At 37.9% G+C, this 24456-nt stretch overlaps 1 protein-coding gene across 17 annotated transcripts in view; it reads right to left on the reverse strand.

Moving 5' to 3' along the window:
* The window catches only part of CACNB4 (calcium voltage-gated channel auxiliary subunit beta 4), a 266397-nt gene continuing 245207 nt past the window's right edge, over positions 3267–24456 (reverse strand). For 15 of the 17 annotated variants that reach the window (XM_011511797.4, NM_000726.5, NM_001330113.2 and 12 more), the window contains 3 exons: positions 23944–24039; positions 12399–12584; positions 3267–9875 (listed from right to left, as the gene is read on the reverse strand). In XM_011511797.4, coding sequence (XP_011510099.1) covers positions 9615–9875; positions 12399–12584; positions 23944–24039 — 543 coding nt within the window. In that variant the 3' untranslated portion in view covers positions 3267–9614. Of the gene's footprint in view, positions 9876–12398; positions 12585–23943; positions 24040–24456 lie in introns of those variants that run through there. The other 2 variants (NM_001145798.2, XR_007081584.1) reach the window with 2 other exon arrangements.

Raw genomic sequence — 24456 nt, forward strand, 5'->3', positions numbered from 1 at the left:
TTATGAAATGGATGTCATATACACATTATGTGATGGCGGAGCTTCATATTTTACAATCTACCCAAGGAAATGGTCTCCCAGGTTATTTTCCGAGTGAAGAAAGAAGAGAGAGAGAGAGACAGAGACAGAGAGTTTAAAGACCAATTTATCTATGATTACAGAGAAATGCAAAATGTCATTGGAGAGACTTCTGACTTCAGGCATGAGAGAGTAGGATGGTTTGAATATATCCTCCTACCATTAGCAAATAGAAAACTGCACAAAGTACAGGCAACGACATTTCAGATATTGAAAAACACATCACAGTACTGTGATTCTTTGCAAAAGAGAAAGGAACAGGTGGAGTCTTACCATTTCCTGGACTTTATCCCTAAAAGCAATTCCCAGTCAACTACGGAGGAAGTGGGAACCCAAATGAGAATCTGGAAACCTCTTAGAACTGAAGACGCATATCAGCATTCCCAGAGATCAAGGTGACTAGAATTTGTGAAGCAGAGTAACTGGAAGGAGGGAGCTACACAGAGAAAAGCTCTGGAAACCTGTTAAGGGGCCATTGAGTCTTTGGCTGCATATCAATTTGTGCTCGTGCAGTATGAACCCCCAAGAGGCTGGTCAGTCACAATTCCTGAGGAAAAATAAGTACCAGGAAACTGTAATGCAAATGATTCCCAGAGATTACAACGGGTCAGGAATCATTTGAGTTCCCTTCAGCCAGAGTGAAGAGAACTGAATATATAGGACAGGGGTGTCCAATCTTTTAGCTTCCCTGGGCCACACTGGAAGAAGAATTGTCTTGGGCCACACATAACATAAGCTAACACTATTGATAGCTGATGAGCTAAAAAATAAGTAAAATCACAAAAATACTCATAATGTTTTAAGAAAGTTTACGAATTTGTATTGGGCCACATTCAAAACCATCCTAGGGCCGGGTGCAGTGGCTCACACCTGTAATCCCAACACTGGGAGGCCAAGGTGGGCAGATCTCTAGAGGCCATGAGTTCGAGACCAGCCTGGCCAACACAATGAAACCCCGTCTCTACCAAAAATTACAAAAATTTGCCGGGCATGGTGGCGCAAACCTGTAATCCCAGCTACTCTGGAGGCTGAGGCAGGAGAATTGCTTGAACCCAGGAGGTGGAGATTGCACTGAGCCAAGATCAAACCGCTGCACTCCAGCCTGGGTGACAGAACAAGACTATCTCAAAAATAAATAAATAAATTAATTAATTAATTAATTTTTAAAAAGCCATCCTGGGCTGCATGCAGCCCACAGGCTGTGGGTTGGATAAACTCGATATAGTTGAGTGGACACCACCAGAGACCTTAGAAGAGGAGCTAACTGGCCTAAGAATAAGCCCTACACAAGACCAATCCTAAAGGAGCTTAAAACCAAACCTTGAAAGGGCCAAACTAATTCACAATTGCCTGCCAAAACAAGTATAACATTCTTTAAAGGAATATGAGATCAAGTCATCAACAATGTAAACTTTACATTGTCCTAAATCCAATAAAAAATCACTAGACGTGCAAGGAAACAGGAAAATGTGATCCATAACCAAAAGCAAATCACTCTACAGAAATACCCAGGCATGGGGACATTAAGTGATTGCCCCAAGTTCATGGCTAGTTATTGCTGGATCTGGGCTTTGAACCCAGACAAAGGTTAGATCCACACTCAAACCACTGTGCTAATCTGCATGTTGTATCAAAGTACAAATGAGATGTTTCTCTCCCTCGTACATTTTATTATTGGAAATGTGCTGATGACAGGAGAAGTAGCTTCAGGCATATGGCTGGTAGATGAGTTTCAGATTGTTGGCTGAAATACTTTGATAGTTGAGACAGCCTTATATAATACCTCTCCAATAACTGAGGTACTATTCATTCAGTCAACATTTATTGTATTCCAGGCATTGTTTTGTATGCTTCAGATGATTACCTAGCTTAAAAGTAACATATCAGTACTTTTTTTTTTCTTTTTCTTTTTTTTTGGTGGGGGGATGGACTTTCGCTCGTTGCCCAGGCTGGAGTACATTGGTGCATCTCGGCTCACGGCAACCTCCGCCTCCCGGGTTCAAGCGATTCTCCTGCCTCAGCCTCCCGAGTAGCTGGGATTACAGGCATGCGCCCTCACGCCCGGCTAATTTTGTATTTTTAGTAGAGACGGGGTTTCTCCATGTTGGTCAGGCTGGTCTCAAACTCCCGACCTCAGGTGATCCGCCCGCCTAGGCCTCCCAAAGTGCTGGGATTACAGGCAGGAGCCACCACGCCCGGCTATGAGTACGTATTTTTAAAGAAAAATTCTTGGCTGCGCGCAGTGGCTCACGCCTGTAATCCCAGTACTTTGGGAGGCCGAGGCGGGCGGATCACCTGAGGTCGGGAGTTTGAGACCAGCCTGACCAACATGGAGAAACCCCGTCTCTACTAAAAATACAAAATTAGCCGGGCGTGATGGCGCATGCCTGTAATCCCAGCTACTTGGGAGGCTGAGGCAGGAGAATCGCTTGAACCCGGGAGGTGGAGCTTGCCGTGAGCCGAGATCGCACCAGTGCACTCCAGCCTGGGCAACAAGAGTGAAACTCCATCTCAGAAAGAAAAAAAAAAGAAAAATTCTTTTGAGAGAGAAGTTTCAGTGAACTTTGGTTTCCTCATTTGTATTTGTATCTCATAATCCATGCCCGGCCTACTTTCCTGGGTGATCAGATGAATTAAATGTGATAATTGTGAAATAACTTGACTCTAATAAATCACTGTATAATCCTAATGCAGTGATAAAAATCAACATAGTCCATATTTCTTTGGAATCTCCTATACAGTGAAATGACAAAAAAGTCAAATTCCAATCAAGTCTTAACATAGACAATTGACCCCAAATACATACTATGGAATTCTTACAGGTACAAGATAGCTTTGGAAATGTCTGATAACTGCAATATTAATCATTTTGGAGTGGATGACTTGCGAACAATATAATACTTCATCTAGTATATTTTTCTATATCCAATCCTATTTTGCACATGTATTCGAATGTATTTTATTTCACATGTGTGTGTATTTAACTTATAAACCCTTTCCTAATACAGTACTTATTTTGTGATCACTCACAGCACCTGGCAGAGTATTCAGAAAGTAGTCATTTGATTGAATCCCTTTTTAGGATAAATGTTTAGACTTTTTCTTTTTTTCATAAAAGAGTACCTATTGATTTCCAGTATTTCTTCAATATATTTCTAGAATAATATAAAGGAGAGGTATAACGCTGGTTTCAGTGTTTTTTTCATTTATTATATAAAAGAAAAAAAGTAATGCAGTTGTTTTGTACACATTTAAATTCCATAAAACAAATCCATAGAAATGAGGATACTCTATGCATGCACTCTGCATTTTCTTTGTTAATGTTTTTATTCACAAAAATAACACCACGTTTTTTTCTTTAAAGCCACTAAAGCAGAGGGAGAACAAAACATGCAGCACTGTACACATTTGCATAGTATATTTTACCCAGCATGCCTTGTAGAATGCTACACATACCTAGATAAGAAAAATAAAAGGGGACAAATTATTAAAATAAATAACTAAAATTTAAAGAAAGAAAAAAAATTATTTGACAAAGGCATTTTTTATCCCACTTTGTCAATGGAGATATAGCAATAGCCTGGGATTTCAACAGCCCTCAGAATAGTAGGAAAAATCTTTTTACATCATTTTGCCATATTTCTGTTTTAGTATGTTTTATGTTAATACATTTATTTTTTATTCCTTCCCACCATCCCTACAAAAACACAGCTAATGGCTTTAACTTATGTTTCAAAGTAGTATTCAGTACAAAACAAATTAAAGAATCCCTAACTAATATAATTTTTTGTGGTTGGGACATCTTTATTGATCATTCTGACTCGAGGCTGTGAAAAATACAAAAATCTCACACATGTCCAAAATTCAGAGGAGCCCTATGAGCTCACTTGCTGTGACTTTCTGCTGTTGTTATTGAAAGAGAAGAAATAAGAGGAGAAAATATGGTATGAGTGTTATCACAAAATAAAATTTAATAAATTTTATGGAAGGGAATAAAACAAAAGAAATTACATCCACAGATTGCAAGGCTATGAAATAAATTGCTGGAAAAGTATCAAGCAGCAAGTTAAAAAGATGGTAGATGAAGTAAATCTGACAAAACTTAGAACTAAATCGACATACTTTTAAAAAATATGACTGCCAAATTTAACGGTGGATTTTGTTATAAGTTTGTGCTATAACAAATGTGCTTCTTTCTCCTCAATCTATTTTTATATTATTGGCAAAATATATATTTTATAATTTTGTACTGTACAATATGTTTTTGCTACATTATTTTTCTACTGCTAATGCAGATTATAAGTAACAACATAGATTTATTTTGGCAATAAAATGCTTTCATTTTAATAACATCCCAGAAAATATTGTAAGGCATATGAAAAATAGTATGCAACGATATAGCGTTAATGATCCCGCCTCTTTATTACATCCCTTATGCATACAGAATTCACACTGATTTCAGTTAAAAGTCAAAGTGGCATGCAAGTAGGGCAAGGGTGGCCCCTACATAAATATAGACATAGCCATTTGTTGAGAAATTTAAGTGTTCAAAACATAACCAAGAACACTTATCAGGTATTGAAAAGCTAGAGGCCAGCCACTTCTGGTTCTTAGTTCCCCTTGTAACTCCTTATAATTTTCAAATGAGGAAGTATCAGTGTATTCTCCCAAACCACTCTAAATTCATTAGTAACATTTTCTACCATCCTTCTGCAAACATTTTACATACATCATGAGAAACAAAAGAAAGTTTCATATATAACTACGACTCCCCAAACCAATTGCTACTCACTCTTAATTATACTTTGTTTATGGCAAGTAGAAGTTACAGCCCTTAGGATTATCTGATGAGATACTTTCTAGTCTTCTCATAATGTCCCTCAATTACATGAAGCATTTAGAATTAATCATTACAAGTAAAAAGAGATAGCTGCTATCAGAGGATGTATTTTATTTAAGAAAGTCCATTTTAATAAAAGAAGAAACTTTTAAAAGTAATTTTTGAATGCTGTAGTTCTGGGTGCCCATATAAGCCAATTTTTCTATTTTGACTAACTTGACTGCTTAAGTCAAAAAGAAGGTTATCCTTATTGTCTGTCTAACAGCTAATTGGATTGACTTGACTGGTTTGATCATGATTATTTTAAAGAAGAGGACTGTTCTCTGCCCCATAGACACAGCTTGAGTAAGTAACTTACTAACAGTTATAGTATTGACAGTATTTAAAGGTATGAGAAACTAATAAAACAGATTTTATTACATAATTTCCTATAAATTTTTCATTCATACAGTCATTCAAGGATGAGTTTTATATAATTTAAAAAAACACAACATGCAACATTGTCATAAAAGACAAAGGCAGAAATGTAAAAGGAATAAGGGGTACATAGCATTTATTTGAAACATTGATATGAAGTTTATTCCAATTACATGGGAGTCCAAGATTATGCATATCCTTACCCAGTAAATGGCTAAGTCATGCTCTGTGGAAGTCAAGGACCAACAAAATGTGAATTTGCAAACCAGCTGCTCTTAAACATAAAGTCTTTGGACTTTTACTCCTTTAGACTTAGAACTAGATATTATAACAAGTTGCACACAAAGGCAATTCCCTTGCAGTTTGTTTTGTTCCCTATGATGACTTATTTGTTAAATTAACCTTGCCTCATGATAAACTGTGAACCAATTCAAAGAAAACTTCACTAACGTGGAAGAAATGAAAGGGTGCCAAACAGCATTTTGGAAACAGTTTAAAATCTAAAGGGAAGGCATATTTTAATAATCTATGTATTTAGCTTTGCAGCAAGGTTAGCCAGAATAGTGATAATTTTGATCACTACTTATTGACCAGTGTTTTTCCCTTTAAAGACAGATTGTCTTCTCTAGAGAAGAGGTAGTAAATATATCAGTACATAGGGTAATTTCTACAATGGTATTACATTTTTTAAGCAAATACCAAAATAAAACTGTGTAACTAAGAAAATATATACTAACATGCAAATTAAGGTTGCCAAGACACATTCTTAACGGACATCCTGGGTCTTAACAACATTTTGTGATATGTTCATTTAAAGAATTTAAATTTGCAAACCATCTTTTAGCATAATTTCCTTTTCTTACTTCCTTTCACTGCCTCCACTTCCTATTATGAATTTTAAGGCCCCCACACAAAAGACAAGTTCAAGTATGCAGGTATGAAAAGAGGTTAACATTCCAAAAATACATTTTGCAAACAACGACAATAATAATTAAATAGCAGATTATTTAAAGGAAACAAATAATTGTCTCAGAATTTGTTTTACATTAATAAAATTCATTTCATTAAAGACTAACTGCAATGACTTATATAGTCACAAAATTAAGACTCTTATTAGGAAAGACCATCATCTAAATTGTGAACAATTTCAACCTTCTCTCCAATAGAACTGTATAAAGATAAGAGAGAATCATCATTTATAAACATTTCTAAGTGTTGCTTTAAATATTAAACAAGATAATGTTGTTGGTTATAATATTAGAGTGACATTATACCCTTGAGAATTAACATCAGGATTGACAAATTGCATTCGTTTTTTTCCAGAACTACATTTCCACATTGTCACATGAGTCCACATTATTATATGTCTGTGACTGAAATTACAGAATTCTAGTATGTGGCTTATACTGTAAGTTAAAACAGCCTCAAAACAGTAAAAGACTTGTTTCTCTTGCTTATAATCATTTGCTATCTTTAAATGAAATTAATTAAAAACAAAGTATGGAGTATGTATTTTTCAAAGGTGCTTGGTGTGCTTGGCAAAAATAAAACTTTTCATTTAGTATATATCTAGATTTTAAGTATCATTTACACAATAAACTCTTAAGTCTTTAAAAAAAATAAGATGTATATCCCCTTATTTGAGGAAGATAAACTTATTACAGAAAGAAGGGGAAAGAATATTCCAAATTAAAGTAAACATTTAAATATATCCATCAATAAAATATACATTATACCCTTTCCAAGATTGTCAGCTTTTGAATAAGAATGCAAAGCAAAACAGGTATGGACATCTGATGGTAATTGATAGATTGGTTTTGTGCACAGATATTGAATGAGACTCTCTTTATCGGCATGACATGGAAGACTAAAAACAAGGCTTTGAAAAACCTTTAAAAACAAGTGACTTTTAAAAAGTTGAAAGAAGATGGTAATCTTGATGACTAGGAAATATATTTAAATGCTGTTACAGCTACCTGCCATAAAATGTAAGTATCTTAAAGTAGTTAAATGACCAAACTGCTAATGCTACTACAGAAAAAGCTGAACAGCTGTCTAGTCTAAATTTGTACACCTTGGTGCACTCTTTGCAATTAAATACTTTAATGCGCATAAACAAGAAACCAGTAAAGCATATAGAAAAATGTTTTGGCTAATGTTTTCTTTCTCATGCAAGTATGTGCTGTACATGTAATAAATATATTTTTGTTTGCTGGAAGATGCTCTTCTGTGTTCTAACAAAGTATTCAGTAATGGCAGGTTATATGTTTATTAAAGTGCCTAATGGATATAACTCTTTTAAAATGTCTTAACTGAAAGTTTTATAAGCTTCACTAGATGACAGAAGAATCTCACAAGCCAGTATCACATGTTAACTTTTAAAATTTACTAAGCCCATATTTTTTAATTGTATCAAATATTTGAAATGACTTACAGAATTATAGGTATCCTCATTATCAGCTAAACAGGTTCATAATGGGGTACAAACACTGAACATAAATGCAGGGGGATGTGGTGAGGTTGTAATGGGGTTCAAGATATATATATAACTCATCAGTAATGTGGAACTTATTTCCATGGTCAAGAAGATTACTGAACTGGTGCATGCTTTGAGTGCCTGAATACTGAAAGGCTTGGGGAGAAAAGAAGATACTATAAAATTAATTATCATTATTTTCAAAAATAGGCTTCATGACATGTACTAGCAGAAAAGAACTTTTATGGCTGGACTTATTGGGGTTTTAGAAAATGCATGCACTATGGACATTTAGAAATAAGTTTTTTTTTTTAAAGACATTTGTGTAAAAAGGGTCAATTTCAATAATTTCTTAGATCAGAGTGAATCTAAGGCTTCCTTGATAATATAAAACATAGGTCACCAATTCCATAATTATAGCCACTGGAAAAACTGTGAAGACTTAATAAGATGAAGAGGAGTGTTCATTAGAAATAAGGCAGCTCAATCTCCAAATTCTTTATAATTTTCTGCATTAAAAATGCTATAATTTTAGTCAACAAATATTTGCTGAATCTATGAGTTTATTTTTTACTGCAAGCTTTTAAAATCATTTGTTTCAACTTTTTTCAATTAGTCATTTTGTAAAAACATCTCCTGAATATCAAAGTTGAGTGTGTCCACATAAAACGAAATTCCTTAGCATGATTTAAAGAATTTGTTGAAGGGCCAGAACATTCAGATATTCAAAGACAGAGACTGAGAGAAGCAATGGAAAGATACTCAATCTTGTTGGCAGGAAATACAGACCCTGCGTTTGTGTTAAGTGAAATAGATGAATTCCCACCTGGAAGTGTTTAGCATTGCACTCGGGAGGATTGGTACCACATCCTTACTATCTGACTTCAGATTCCTGGATGTATGTAGTTGTGCTCAGATTGATTAAAGGGAGAACAACACCCCATTTTATATTTCACATAACCAGCTATGCTTGGGCCTCTCTTTACTATTCTCTCTCACTGCTGAAAAAAATTTGAGGTTTTTTGCTTGTTTGTATTTGTTTTTGCCAACTTCAAATGAGCTAACAGTACTGACCAAACAAAAAGCAAAACACTTTGAATACAACAGCTGTGCCAGGAAAGAAATAAAAATATTAAAATCTGAGGAGACTATATAATTTCTGCATTAAGATTTCTGAGATTTTTTTTTTGGCACTATCAATACATTTGGTAAGTCTGAAAAGTCATTCTGGCAACATTAACATATATTAAAATGTTTATACACTCCAACTTTAAGTGTAAATTTAGCTTCCAGCAAATAAATACCAAAGCTGGATTTGGCTTCTATTGGTATTTCGATTTTCTTATTAGTTTTTTTTTTTTCCCCCCAGATTTTTCAGTTGATTACAACATGCTCAAGTAGACTTTCTAGTCAATTCACCCAAATTCCAACAGGAATTGGTTTATAAATTGGTTCCAACTGGAACTGGTCATTTGGAATTTCCAGCATGGGAAATTATTTTATATGTGCCTTGTAAGTACCCTAAATTACAAATTGATGTGTCTAAATCTATGAAGAAAACAAAATGTACTGTTATCATGTAAATGTTGCACTTAAAAATATCTATATGATCGGGCATCTAATATCCATCTAGACTCAAGGGCATAATGTAATTTTTTTTTTTGCCCCTTACTTAGCATAAAATGACAGCAGCCCATTAGCACAGTAAATACTGTGCTATGTTAGCCAAGTTAAGATGATTGGTTTATCCTAGCACTGCTATGGCAAATTGTCAACAGATGAATATTTTTTGTTTCATTAGACTCAAAGCCTATGTCGGGAGTCATGGCTATATCCCCCAGGTGATCCTCGGTTCCTATGGGGTTTGTAAGTGTCCTGGTATGAGTCAGGGTAATCTTCTTCCACAAGAGGGTAATGATCTCGGCTATGCTGAGAACTGGAAGACAAGCGGTTCCTACTCTTCCGAGCCCTTTCATTGTGATAATTTTCATCAGAGGTCATTAGACTTCGTCTTTCAATTGGAGAGTTCTCTGTGGAGTGGTTGCTGTGCCTCATTCGCTGACTCTAAAAATATCAGATAGTTCATTGATTAAATAATGTCAGCTTCATTCATCTAAACATGTAAATGTATGTAAAATCATAGGATCTGTACAATAAGATGCTAAATATCTGACTTAATAAGGCATCCTGATGCACCAATGATCTGCTTAGAATATCTGGTCTTATTTATTTGGGACACAACATGAAAAGATGCCAGAGTGTTGATAGTTTATGAGTTTAATTCCACAGTGCTGAATGACTATGCTTCCTATTACAAATGTAGAATTGAAAGCTAACTGTTAAATGGAACTTAATATATTTAGGAAGTTCTAATAATTCCATTTCTATTGCAAAAATGAAAATTATTTTACTATTGGGAAATAAAGTTCAGAATAGCATTTATTATTTCTCTCTTGAATTGATATAATCTTTCTCCTTCTAAAGTAACACACCTCACCTTGATCTAACTGAATATTCCTTATACCTTTTAAAAACATTTTAATAAAATTATTATTTGTGCTGTTCATAAAATAAAGTGTTTCTGCATCCTACATAAATGTAATAATCTTTCCAAGGGTGTATACAATAATTATGAAGCCAGCTAATTGATACATTTATAAATCTTGCTTCCTCAACTAAAATGTCCTGCAAAATAATCTTCCAATATAAACGAAATTCCTCTAATACCATTAATTGAAATTAGCATCTTAAGATACTTATTTGAAGGCTCAGAAAATGTTATTCAACATTTTTCTCCACTATGAGAAAACATTTATCTACTTGTGTCTACTGGTTTAGGTAGGTCACATCAGTTAAGGCACAGGATCCTGCTGAAACCATGGGCCCAGACACATCTCATCTAAAGTACACTCAGATTCAGGCAGAAGGAAATTCATTTGACAGGTCACAGACTGTGCCTTTAACCTCAGGTGCCTCACAATGAAGTGTCAATTGTTACTGGGAGAAGAAATAGGCCACAGAATAAAGGGCAACACATTAACTCATTAGTGAAACAGGGAGAACCACTCTAGGTGGATGTCTTAGCAGTGATGAGTCAAGATTGTTGTATTCAATATAAAAGTGCAACATTGCATTTCTACGTACATTACAGAAGTGTATTGCTTCATGCATCTATTTCTCATTCTGTAATGTACAATTCAGAGCCAATCCACACTAGTCAATAGTAATGTACACTCAGATCAGCCCATGGGAAGTGAAACAAGGCATGAAATAGTCCTAATGCATGCGTATGTGCTGTACATTACCACAGTACATTTTTCATGTTCATTTCTAGTTTCAAAAGCTATTCATTTGCATGACAGTTTTTCTGCTTACAAAGATGCAATTTTGTAACAGAGTAATACAGCTATAATAGCATTTCAGAGAGTGCCATTTATCTCAGAGTTAACTCTGTATGATCGACAATTAAGACTATCATTATAATCCATTAAAACAAAACTCATCATGATACAAGAGGGCTCAATTGACTACATGTTCCTCAGTTTGCTGCGGGTTTGGCCACATTCCAGCAGCTACTTGATGAATGGTAAATAATAATTGATGTAGAAAGGCAGGCTCATTTTGTACCATAAGGTCTCTGGTTCCCTATCTCTACCTCTGAGTGCAATACCAGAACAGCAGAAGGGAGAACCTCTTGATCCTGTGTTCGTCACCAGCTTCCCTAAAGGACACGTGCCACAGCCACTTACAAAGGTGGGCACCTGCACAGCCCCAAGAAAACTCAGGGATCAGTTACTGTTTCTGAACAGAGCAGCTCTACTTATATCCACATTGTCTTGTGCAAGGTAGAGAGCAGGCCTAGCAACCTGGGTGCGGCAGGATTAATTAAGGGCAGCTGAAAGGCCTATCTGCACCTATATATCTTACTTAGCTATTGTGTAATCCTTAAGAAGTGGCATTAAGAAGTAATGGAGGGGCCAGGAGTGGTGGCTCATGATGGTAATTTCAACATTTTGGGAGGCCAAGGCAGGAAGATTGCTTGAAGCCAGGAGTTTGAGATCATCCTGGGCAACAAAGTGAGACACTGACACTGTCTCTACAATTTTTTTTTTTTAATTATCCATGTGTGTGGTATGTGCCTGTAGTCCCAGCTATTTGGGAGGCTGAGGCAGCAGGACTGCATAAGCCCATGAGTCCAGGAATTTGAGGCTGTAGTGAGCTATGATCATATCACTGCATTCCAGCCTGAACAACAGAGTGAGACTATGTCTCTAAAAAAAAGTAATGGGCAGGTGCATTGAGTAGGCATTACGTTTGCCAGCAGAGTTTAGACATAGGAGGAGTTAATTTACCTAAGTAAAATCCACTGTAAATTCACAGACAGCATAATTCTCAGGAAATTGTCAGTCTCTGGGTAGTTTTCTCTAGGATAGATCATAATTAGATAATATTTAAGATTTTTAAATATAATGTGCACATAGTGTTCCCTCTTCAGATTAAGGATGACTCCAGTCTCCATCCTAATCAAGTTCCCATAGAATTTTACATGTAAGGTTGTAAAAAGCATGAGTGAAAAAGTGACAATACCTGTAACCCAGAAATTGCTGTGGGATATGGTGAGAGTGCCGTGGAGCCCAAATTCCTTCCCAGCAGCGGGGTCATGGGTGTGCTACTGGTTGTGTGGGTGGCACGCCAGTACGCCTCCAGGTACTCCCCTAGATGTTCACATGCATCCTCAAGCTGATTTTCATCCAATATAACATCAAACATTTCCTGTAGATGACAAGAAAATCCACTTTACTTCCATTTTAGGTTTTAGGCAATGAAACCTAAAATTCCACTTAACACAGATAATAGCATTTTTAATAGCTATTAGCTAAAATCAAATTTGAGGTGCTATATGGGCAGTTTCTAAAGTTAGGGTCAAGTGAAGAGTTACACAGTTATCCATGAACGAATGTAGACATTAATATAAAAATGAAAGTGTTCATTCAATATTTGGATCTTTTTTTTTTTTTTTTTTTTTTTTTTTTAAGACGGAGTCTCATTCTGTTGCCCAGGCTGAAATGCAATGGCACGATCTCGGCTCAATGCAACCTCTGTCCACTGAGTTCAAGCAATTCTCCTGCCTCAGCCTCCCAAGTAGCTGGGATTACAGGCGCCTGCCACTGCGTCCAGCTAATTTTTTTGTATTTTTTTTAGAAGAGATGGGGTTTCACCATCTTGGCCAGGCTGGTCTTGAACTCTTGACCTAGTGATCCACCTGCCTTGGCTCCCAAAGTGCTGGGATTACAGGCATGAGCCACAGCGCCCAGCCGGATTTTTCATTATTTAGAAAGAAAAAGATGAAGTAAGTGTAAATGTGTTACAGGTAAAATATGACAAAAACCCACGTGTATTCACATCTTTAGCCATGTATTCCTATAGAGCTGCACTCTACACACTTTGGAATATGAGAGAAGCAAGTTTGTGGCACTGAGAAGGGAGTTCTAGACATGTTTTGGGCAATGACCACATCAATGGAATAAACATTTTTTCTCCTAAGGTAACTATGTTGAAGGGAATAACATTTACTTAGGTAATTTTCAGAATGCTTGTGAAAATAACATTATCTGTTTTATGATAAAACAATAAGGAAAGAAAGTTTAGGATTAATAACAGAAAACCACATGGCAGTGGTTTCTGCTACCACAAGATCATTTTGTGAAATGGTTAAAAAAGAACAAGGGGTGTTTAGTTAGGGAAAGCAGGGGGTCACAAAAGAAGTATCTGCTGTCCACGTTTCGGACAGTAAGGCCATTGTTCAACATCTGGTCTGTACTCAGGAAGTTGTTCTGTTCCAGAGGAGCAGGGTGGCCCCCCTGTCATTGCAGTGTGGCTGGGAACACAGACAGGATATACCCCAGACATATACTCTTCAGAGGGAAACCAGAAAACTTTGGCACCACACAAAGAGAAAAGTCATTCCACAGGTAAGTGTTAGCACATCTCAACTTTCTTTCTTTCTTTCTTTTTCTTTGAGACAGTGTTGCTCTGTGGCCCAGGCCAGGGTGCACTGGAGCAAACACAACTCACTGCAGCCTGGAACACCTGGGCTCTAGCGATCCTCCCACCTCGGCTTCCTGAGTAGCTGGGACCACAGGCATGCACCACTGTGCCTGGCTAACTTTTTTAACTTTTTGTAGAGATGAGATCTCACCATGTTGCCCAGGCTGGTCTCAAACTCCTGGGCTCCAGCGATCCTCCTGCCTCGGCCTCCCAAAGTGCTGGGATTACAGACGTGAGTCACCACACCCGGCTCACATCTCAACTTTCAATAGTAGGATTGACCTTTCCCACCACCTTCATCTGCTTTTATGAACTCATTTTACCAAAATAAGAACCTCCCAGGAATGAATCAAAGACAGGGTCACTGCCATCGGCACTGATAAAGCTGGCTGAAATTAGGTTAATGGCAACTGGATGATGTGAAGTTAGTGGTGTCTCAGTTCAGTCATTCTCTTCTGTGCTTAGAACAAGGACTCCTGAAGCAGAAGTCACCATGGAAACAATCTCTCTCCCAACATTTACTATTTAAATGTTTCATCACATCAATTTTTATGGAAAATTTTGGCCTTAAATTGGAAAGCCATTTGGGGTTCTTGGAACAAGACTAGGAAAAGAATAAGATGACTTCAGTCCAAATGGACTCATGTTTGAGAAGACTTAGCCAGTTCAACTCATGTAGAAAATTCCCCCCAACCAAGAACAGTTATTAGTAGATTTCAGATTATTTTGCATATTTTATTCATTCATAAAATACTCAGTCCCTATTTTCTTCTAGGCACTGTGGGTATACAGTGGCAAGGAAAACAGACATCTTATGCTCAAGAAGCATAAAGTGTGGTGGGAGAGATAAGTATTAAAATCCATAATAATCTATGTCACACTGGGACTTTAATTCAGAAAAATAAAGAGACTGAGCCAGTTAACGTTTGAAGCTGCAGCATAAAGTTCTGGATTTGGAAGGAGGCTTGGAGAGATGTGTGAAAACTGAACTTACAAGGAAGGGGAAGTTACGAGTAAGCCAAAGAATGTTATCTGTAGAGGGACGAAAATAAAACAAAAAAAAAGAGAAGCAGAGGCACAATGGAAGAAAGAGATCATATGGCCATGAGTGCCAAGGAAAGCAGCTACTGCCTAGAGTTTCTGTCAACATATATGCTTACAATAAATCCCCTTTTCCACTAAAGTAACCCAAGGGAATTCCTTGTCTCTTGCAATCAAAAGCCCCTCCCCAACTCATGTAAAAGTTCAACAGTTACAAATATAGAATCTCAGAACTGTCCATGATGCTTTGACATAAATAGAGGCATCGAGGTGCTGACTTGAGTGAGACAAGGACAGCTACACCCCAAAGGACATCCACAGACTCAGATGGCACAGGAGGAAGAAAGAGGAAACGAGGCAGCACCAGAACAAAGGACCAGTCTTTCCGCCATTCCAGGCTAAAGTGTGCTGCAAGTTCTACATTTTATGTGACTTGGAGTTGGTTGTTTATATCATTTTATTTATGTGAACCATAAAATTTGATTACATGGGTCTCATTCTATAATATGGGTTTGATTAGTCTCAACAAATCATTTTCTTGCTGTTTCTTAAAGTGCCAAACTGAAAAACCTTCCAAGGATACCTAGGCCGGATGGGTCCTGACATTCACAGCCAGGATTGCAAAGCCCAAGGAGGGTAAGCAGCACCTATGGCAGAATGTTATTTGAATGAGGTTTATATCTACTTGGCCGTTCTACTTGTTACATTGTCACGGTTGTAGACATAATTAGTGGCACATTTAATTGCCATAAGTTTAATAAAGCACTTCTCTTTGCCAATGAATGGATAGAATTTGTATATATCAGCACATGGTATAAGCCTCAGTCATTTCTAGGAAACTGCTTTTGCACTGCTAAAAGACAGATACAGGTTGGAAGATGACTTGAAACTGCTTTTAGGCTTTCAAAAAACACAGAGAAAAGCAAATTTCTGCTTCTGAATGAATACTGACATATGTGGCTTATTTTCATCTAGGAAGAATTTCACAGCCTGTATATCTGTGACAATTTTTCTCTTTAGCTGTTTAGGAAATAACACAGCTGAGTAGATCAGAGTGATAGAAACTCAGTATCAGGGAAAACAATTTTTAAAAATCATACAAGAAATGCAAAAAGAAGCAACCCAATGAATTATGCAAACCAGCTATGCCAATTTTTCATAAATTTAAAGGTTCAAGTGTAGTCAGCTCCTTACTATGCAATATGTGGCCTGCAGCATGGGCTATGGATGCAGAGAGCTCCTAATCAGCAGAAGTCCCGGGCAGCGAACAGTTACCCACTCGGTGATACCATGCCCTTGGTGCAGCCCAAGAGAAGGGCAACGCTGAGCTGTTTTCAAAGCATGGCCACAGGGAACACCTTTGCCCTTGTATGATGGGATATTCTCTTCAGCTGAGGTAGACAGAATGGTGTGGCTGCCAAAGTAAATAAGTAGTGAATAGGGGAATCAAAACAAACCATCAAAAAAATCAGGCACATTAGGCCCCCTTTCTGGATAAGCTCCTTCAAGAAAATTAAAAAGAAAAGCATTGTAAATAACGAAGAGTGAAAAACATGCCTCTAGCTCATTTAGTGGGTATGAAAGCTAAAATGGCAGAGAAGAAAGAAAGGGGAAGAAAGACTGAAACTGAATAAAATGGAAATGAATACTTGCAAGGTCTTTAAAAAAAAGTATTTAACCATCTGTTTGGTACTCCATTTACAGAGTAAGAAGTAATGCTCTTTACTAGGGAAGCCACCTGAATTAAGGTGACCAATGATTGTGGTTGCTGGGGATCTCAGTGTTTCAGGAGACATGAGACTATCACTGCTAAACCTTGAAAATTCTGAGCAAATGGTGGGTCACCCTACTTTTTACAGAAGATACAGTGCTCTCCGGGTCCTACCTGGAGGAAATGAAGCATATTCCATTTATTTCTTTTCAATTCTTTTTGGAGGGAAGATATATAAAGACACTGGGTAAGTCTTCCTTAATGACTATAAAATACATATTTTCTAGCATGGAGGGGAGAATCTCATTAAAACTAATGCATATTGTCTGTTTTTTTAAATCTAGGAAGCTATTGAATATTTTTAATAAAAAGTTTATAAACTGTAGAAACTAATTTTGCAGTTTAATTTTAACTTTTGTTTGTTTGTTTTTTGTTTTGTTTTGTTTTGTTTTTTGGAGATAGGGTCTCACTCCAACGCCCAGGCTGGAGTGCAGTGGCGTAATCTCCGATCACTGAAGCCTTAATCTCTGGGGCTCGGGTGATTGTCCCACCTCAGCCTCCTGAGTAACTGGGACTACAGATATGCACCACCACATCCAGCTAATTTTTTGTAGTTTTTGGTAGGGATGGGTTTTCCCCATGTTGCCCAGGCTCATATTGAACTCATGGGCTCAAGTGATCCACCTGCCTCAGCCTCCCAAAGTGCTGGGATTACAGGCATGAGCCACTGTGCCTGAACTTCACTTTTTAAAGTTGGCTCATTACTGAATATTAGCTAGACAGGGGATTAAATGTAACAAAACTCTCCCATGCATATAATAATAATTATAATGATACGCATTGCTTTACATTTATTTGTTGTACATAGATAAAACTGCATGTTGGGCATTTTTCTTATTTCTAAGTGGTAAAAAGAAATAATATGGGTGAGCACACTTTTATTTCCTTGCTATTGTAAAATATAGAGACCCTGAAACTGACACCAAAAAAAAAAAAAAAAAAAAAGATTGGGGCAGCACTTTGGGAGGCCAAGGCAGGAGGATTAGTTGAGCCCAGAGGTTCAAGACCAGCCTAGGCAACATGGCAAAACCCTGTCTCTACAAAAAATCAAAAAATGAGCTGGGCTTAGTGGCATATTCCTATGGACCCAGCTACTGGGGAGGCTGAGGTAGAAGGATTGCTTGAGCTGGGGAGGTCATGATTGCACCACTGCACTCCAGCCTGAACAACAGAGCAAGACCCTGTCTCAACAAAACAAAACAAAACAAACCATGCACAAAAAAAGACTGGCAAGTACTGTTCAGTAAAATCAAACGGCTGAATGGTACAACATGTAATGCTAATTATAAAAATAATCAACCCAATGGTTCTTTCATATCAAAACTCCATTCTTTACATTATTAAAGCTTTTGAGATTCTGAGTATTTAACTCACTGGTCAACTAATGATGGGAAATTAGACTCTAAGTTGAAGGGCTTTTAAAAGATCTATGATGGGTGCGGTGGCTCACACCTGTAATCCCAGCACTTTGGGAGAACAAGGTGTGCAGGTCACCTGAGGTCAGGAGTTTGAGACCATCTCTTTTAAAAAATACAAAAATCTCTTTTAAAAAATACAAAAATTAGCTGGGTGTGGTGGCACATGCCTGTAGTCCCAGCTACTTGGGAGGCTGAGGCAGGAGAATCGCTTGAACCCAGAAGGCAGAGGCTGCAGTGAGCTCCGATCGCGCCACTGCACTCCAACCGGGGTGACAATATTACTGGGCTCTAGCAGTTAGTTCCAGGTAGTTTCCACTTTAATGAGCTAAACAGGAAAGATAATCATAATTCTTGCCAGTAATTGGTGAGGTTAAAATGAGGGCAAAAAATATATAACTTTGATTCTTTTGACTTCCTCTCTCTTGATAATTTGTGACACTTGATGTGAACCCAAACATGTTTTCCTCCCCACGCCCCTCCATCTGTCCATTCGTATTCTTCAAAGATAATACCATCTACCAACATTAGTGCCTACAGAAAAGGTATCCCATGCTTCTGTTAAAGTCAGATTAATTGGATGTGCTAGATCATAGCATTGGTGGGAATGAACTACCCCTAACTCGATATACCCAAGTCCAGTGGCTGAAATCCCTGGAAAAGGTGTAGTCCCCTTTGGGCTGAGAGAAATTGGATCCCATGTGGTCTTATTTCATGAAGCAAACATCTGAAATTGATTACCCCCCTTTTCAAAAGCAATGTTAGGAATTAAACTGTGGACATCCAGGGGCTGTGAATAATGAATGCACCAATGAGGAGAGCACTTCAAATAGACAGGTAAATCCACACGATTCTAAATAATTCAAATAAAATGACTGGAAGAGGGCAGTGGAAAATTACTACTGTGAGAGCAATATGATCAAGGATAACTGGGCACTATCATTCGCTCCAGAATTCTTGTGTTTCATAGGATAAATCTGAGTCCATTCAGCAGTGGAAAATAAAGGGCGACAGAACAGAGTGACCATGGTTACTGTAACATTAGAGGTTTGCAAGACTCTACTGAGGAGATGAGTTCCCCTCTCCCAGAAGGAGTGATCAATGTCATTTTACACACAAAAAAACATTACACAGCTCAAACAGCCACAGGGTCAGCTTTGGGTAACACAAGCCAGATTGTAACTAAGTAGGATTAAAGGATTACATTTCATTTATATGTTCAATTGTCTGTCTCTCAGCTTTTCTTCTTATTACCATAGTACTGGGGAAGTTTACACTTGGCCTTCTTAAAAAACATACTATTTTCAACTTATCTGAAGAGAAAAAGAATATCAATACTTGGTAGAAGCAAAAAGAAATAAAAAAATGTAGTGTATAGATGTATAATGGCAATACAAAATCAGGCTGGTCATATTAAAAAAAAAATGAGATGGGTTTGCAGGTCCTGTTCCCCTAGGTCCCCTTTTGTCTGCATCCCATCTTTTCTTCTGTGAATTCCGAATGGGCAACGAGAGGAAAGTCCTTCCTCTTCCAAAGTAGAACTATCCAGTAGCCCATTTTCCCCACTCATCTTACTGTCTATGACAGATTTTAAATGGTCACAAATTCCTTGACATTCCCTCATGGAGATGAAGAGTTATATCCCCTCTCCTTGAATTTAGGCAGCCTCTGTGATTTTTTTTTCTTTTAAGAGACAATGTCTCACTCTGTCGGGTAGAGTGCAGTGGCATAATCCTGGCTCACTGCAGCTCCAAACTCCTGGGTTCAAGCAATTCTCTCACCTCAGCCTACCAAGGAGCTAGGACTATGCCCAGCTAATTTTTAAAAATTTCCTTTTAGAGACAAGGTCTCAGTATGTCTCCCAGGTTAAAGGGCAGTGGCACAATCACAGCTCAGTGCAGCCTTGAACTCCTAGGCTCAAGCCACCTTCCTGTTTCAACCTCCTGAGTAGCTGGGACTACAGGCACTCACCATGCACCCAGCTCTTTGTGAGTATTTTGATAAACAGAATGCTGTGGAAATGATGTGGTCTGGTATCTATGCCCAGGCTGTAAAAGATTGGAATCTTTGCTCATGGAGCCTGGGAGCTGCCACGTAAGAGCCTGTATTCAAAAAGAGCTGGCTGAGCCCAGCCTTCAGCCATTTCTGCTAAGGTACCAGGTCAGCCGCCAGCTGAATACTACAAGTGGCCATTGTTTGAAGTGACTGAGTTTTGGGGATTATTTTATTGCAGAGTAATAGATAACCATAGCTTGGTCCCAGAACAAGGGGGCAAGTTCAGTTTGCCAGCTAAATCAGGCCTGTCTCATGCCTCTACGAAGTTTGATTGGAACACAGCTACACCCATTTGTTTACACACTGTCTATGTTTGCTTTCCTGCTCGAGAGCAGAGATGAGTAGTTTTGCAAAGGAGTCTATATAGCCCACAAAGCCTAAGATATTACTATCTGGCCCTTTACTTAAAAAGTTCACCGATCTCTCTCCTAGAAAAATCCTTACCCATGAAATACATACTTATCTTTTCTTTTTCTTTTCTTTCTTTCTTTCTTTCTTTTTTTTTTTTTTTTTTTTTGAGACAGAGTCTTGCTCTGTCACCCAGGCTGGAGTGCAGTGGCATGGTCTCAGCTCACTGCAACCTCCACCTCCCAGGTTCAAGCAATTCTGCCTCAACCTCCTGAGTAGCTGGGATTACAGGTGCGCACCACCACACCTGGCTAATTTTTGTATTTTTAGTAGAGACGGGGATTCACCATGTTGGTCAGGCTGGTCTCAAACTCCTGACCTCATGATCCACCCGCCTTGGCCTCCCAAAGTGCTAGGATTACAGGCATGAGCTACTGCACCTGGCCAAAACCCATACTTTTCTTTCCAGGAGAATATATAACTGACCTGTTGCCATTCATCATCTAGTCTTGCTAGACTAGGAGAAAGAGATCTTAAGCTGACTTTGGCCCAGGCATACAACCTTTGAAAAGCCAGTTCTCTTGGTCTCAGTTCCATCATTTGTAAAATGAGGAGATTGGACTAAGTCTTTCCCTAGACATGTTCCACTGGACCCATAGGATGCTCAATGGAAAAGCAGATCTGCAGTCACAATTTTAGGGGAAGCTGTGCACACTATTTGTCCTATTGGAGATATAAAATACACATTGGCATATTCAGGGTTCTGTAGTAAAGAAACCAGACTACCTTTGTTCACCTAAGTGTTTTCTCAAACATTTTTGGTATCAGGATTATTTTCCCATAACACTTACTGATATCACATAGGACCCATATTATAAATAATATAGTCTAGGAAATACTATATTGGGTGCTCTTTAAGGTCCCCTTTTGCTTCAACAGTCCCTGGATCTAGGATTAATTCTGGCTACAGCGTTAACTTTTTTCAGAGCTCCTATAGGCTTCCCTTTCCAAAAACTGTTGCCTTTCATTTCTTAGCAATGTGATACTCTGCCAATGTAATTTGCTGACTTTTCATACTGGAGATATGGTGGCCAATTAAGTAAGTCGCAAATTCTCCTAAAGGAATTAAAATGACACAGTGATCACCAATCTTTGGATGACAATTATAATTATGGTCTTGAAGTAAAGCAGGGGCAAATGCAGACACATTTTAAGGTTACTACTGGTTTTTATAATCCAAAGATTTCTTCACACATGCCAAAATAGAGGATACTATTCCTCCTCAGCATTACTACATCTGTGCAGTATCAATTGAACATGTTTAATAAAGTAAACAGTGTTTAGAAAATGCTAAGTACAAGGTAACCTTATCCATCCAGACTGCCTGTTTAAAATTCCAGGTTATCTTACCAATTATATAAAAAGATAAAGTGTTTATCCTACTGAGATAATGGTAAGGCAAGGCTGTCTTTCCAGTCATGGAGCTGTTTGAAATCTCTGACCTGGGTACAAGTCCTAAGGTAGCTCAGTATATTAGTTGCTTTTACAGATGCAAATATCTTTTCTTGATTCCAGCTATTTCAGATGTAACAAACCATATTATATGTACAACTACTCAATGATCAACCCTCTCAGCAGCTAAAATCCCTCAAATTTAATAGGACACAAGAATTTTCTCTAGTAATTATTAGAATAAATGTTAATAAACTTATTTTCATAAAGATAAAATTTCTCCAATAAATCTCTTGCATTTGTAATTCCATTTAGGTGTCTGCTTCCCAGAAGACCAAACTGATATAACTATCCTTATAAGATTGTTCCAAAAATTGGAAATAATAACATAGTTCCCGGCTTTTGATAGCTAGACAACAAAGATTATCTTCCTTCAACTGTGAAACATTAGAAGGTCAGGGCTGGGCAATACATTCCTCTGTCTGTTCAGTGCCTTAATCATACATTCCACTGTGTAATTGGGCTTCACTAACAGGCAGCGTGAAGTGAAACTTAACAGAGCACGCCATGCTCCAAGCTATCAAATTATCTTCAGGGTAGGTAACCAGGTACATGTGTGTATGGGTGGATGGGTTAGGGGGTAGGAAATTGTCTTTGGAGCCAGATAGATCTAGAATAGATTGAATCCTAATTTGCTATGTCACCTTAGGGAAATCGTTTAATGTCTCTGTTTTCAGTTGCCTAAACTATAAAATGGAGATAATATGGCCTATCTCACCAGGTAACTGTGAAGATTAGAGATAATCTATGTAAAGCATCTAGCACACTGTGTGGCCAACTGTAAGCATCTAATGAAAGGATGCATTATTACTCTTATCGTCTGAACATCCTTTCATTTATTCACTCATTCCACAAATATATATTATGGGTCTACTATGATAGGGAACTGACATACAACAGTGAGCCAGAGGGGCACGGGTTCTTACAGAGTCTACTGGACCAGACATGACGTCACACAAAGTGTATCCAGTAATTATAATAAGAAAACTTAGACGGTGCTTCTTATGTTCCTGGCGCTGTTCTAACAGCTTTACCACATATTCACTCACTCAATCCTTACACCAATCCCATGAGATAGGTACTTGCCCAAGATTACATAACTAGTCAGTGTGGATTCAAAACCCAAATATCTGGCTCCAGAGTCTGTGCTTTTACAGGTTATGCTGTGTTGCCCTCTCTAAACATTTGAATCAGATTTCATGCTTCCATAGAGCTTAAACAATCCTACACAAGTGTATAAAACAATCTAGTGAATCCATTGAGTAAGAAGGACAGTTATTTCCTTTACAGAAACATAGGCACAGAAATAGTAAGTCAGTGGGAAAAGTGGAGAGACTGGCCACTGGGGACCCAGTGCCATGTGATAGCAGTTCCATCTCCCACCCCATCCCACCATTGCTCACCTTCTAACCCAGCAGCTGTTTTCTGGCAATGGCACTAGAAGAAGAGTTGCTATAATTTCGTTTTTCATCTGACTCAGCCCTGACTCTTTCATCTACTATAACCACAGGGCCTCTCTAGTTCCAATCAATTCTTGACCTTCAGTGTCATAATCTTTTATGCCTGCTGGAATTTTCTTGCAGAAGAGTTAAAGGAAGATCAAATTGGTATGTTTTCTTTTGTTCTTTTCTTAAGCGTATCCATGTGACTGGAGGCTGAATGCTAAGTGGTTTGCTGCATGTTTGCAAAGCAAACAAGGTAGCAGTGAGAAGAACAGACCCCGGACACTAAGTTCATTTCTTATTACAAGGCAAACACCATCCACATCTGGATGCCTGAATACAAGCAACATAACAGCAGCAGTTTGTTCCAAGAAATCTTTTAGATGACAACATACCATCATCACCATCATTTTAGAATGAAAACAACAATATGAAGAAAAAAAAACCCACCCTCTTCTAACTAGTCAAGAATGATGAAGACAAAAAATGATCATACTTACTGGGGGGCATTGTGCAAGTTTATCAGCTGCCACCAGTTGAACATTCAAGTGTTTACTTTGTGACTTTCCTCTAGATTTAATCAACCGCTGTAAAACCTGATAGAAGAAGACATGAACCTGAGGTATTGTAGATGAGTTGAAAGAAAATCAAATAAGCCAGGATCTTTTTAATGGTCTGCTTGGCCCTGAGTATTATCAGAGAGGAAATGCAGTGTGAGAAATCATATATTTAAACCTGTAATGATGTCATCTGCTTACATTGGCTCTCAGTTCCATGGATTTGATATGTTCATCCTATTCTAACTCTGTGTGAAGTCTCAGGAGGAGCCTGAGTTCCCATCCTAGATTTTTCCCAGAGATTTCAAAGAGAGACCTGTAAAAATGGAGGGAGTGGACTGTACCAGGTCATTTATGTTAAGTAATACTTTAATATTATTCACCTGAATAATGTTTTAGCTCACTATCTCCATGTCAGATAAATGTCAGAGTCATTTTCTGGTTATTTTTGTCACC

The sequence above is a fragment of the Homo sapiens genome, chromosome 2, assembly GCF_000001405.40.
Source record: "Homo sapiens chromosome 2, GRCh38.p14 Primary Assembly".
NCBI lineage: Eukaryota > Metazoa > Chordata > Mammalia > Primates > Hominidae > Homo > Homo sapiens.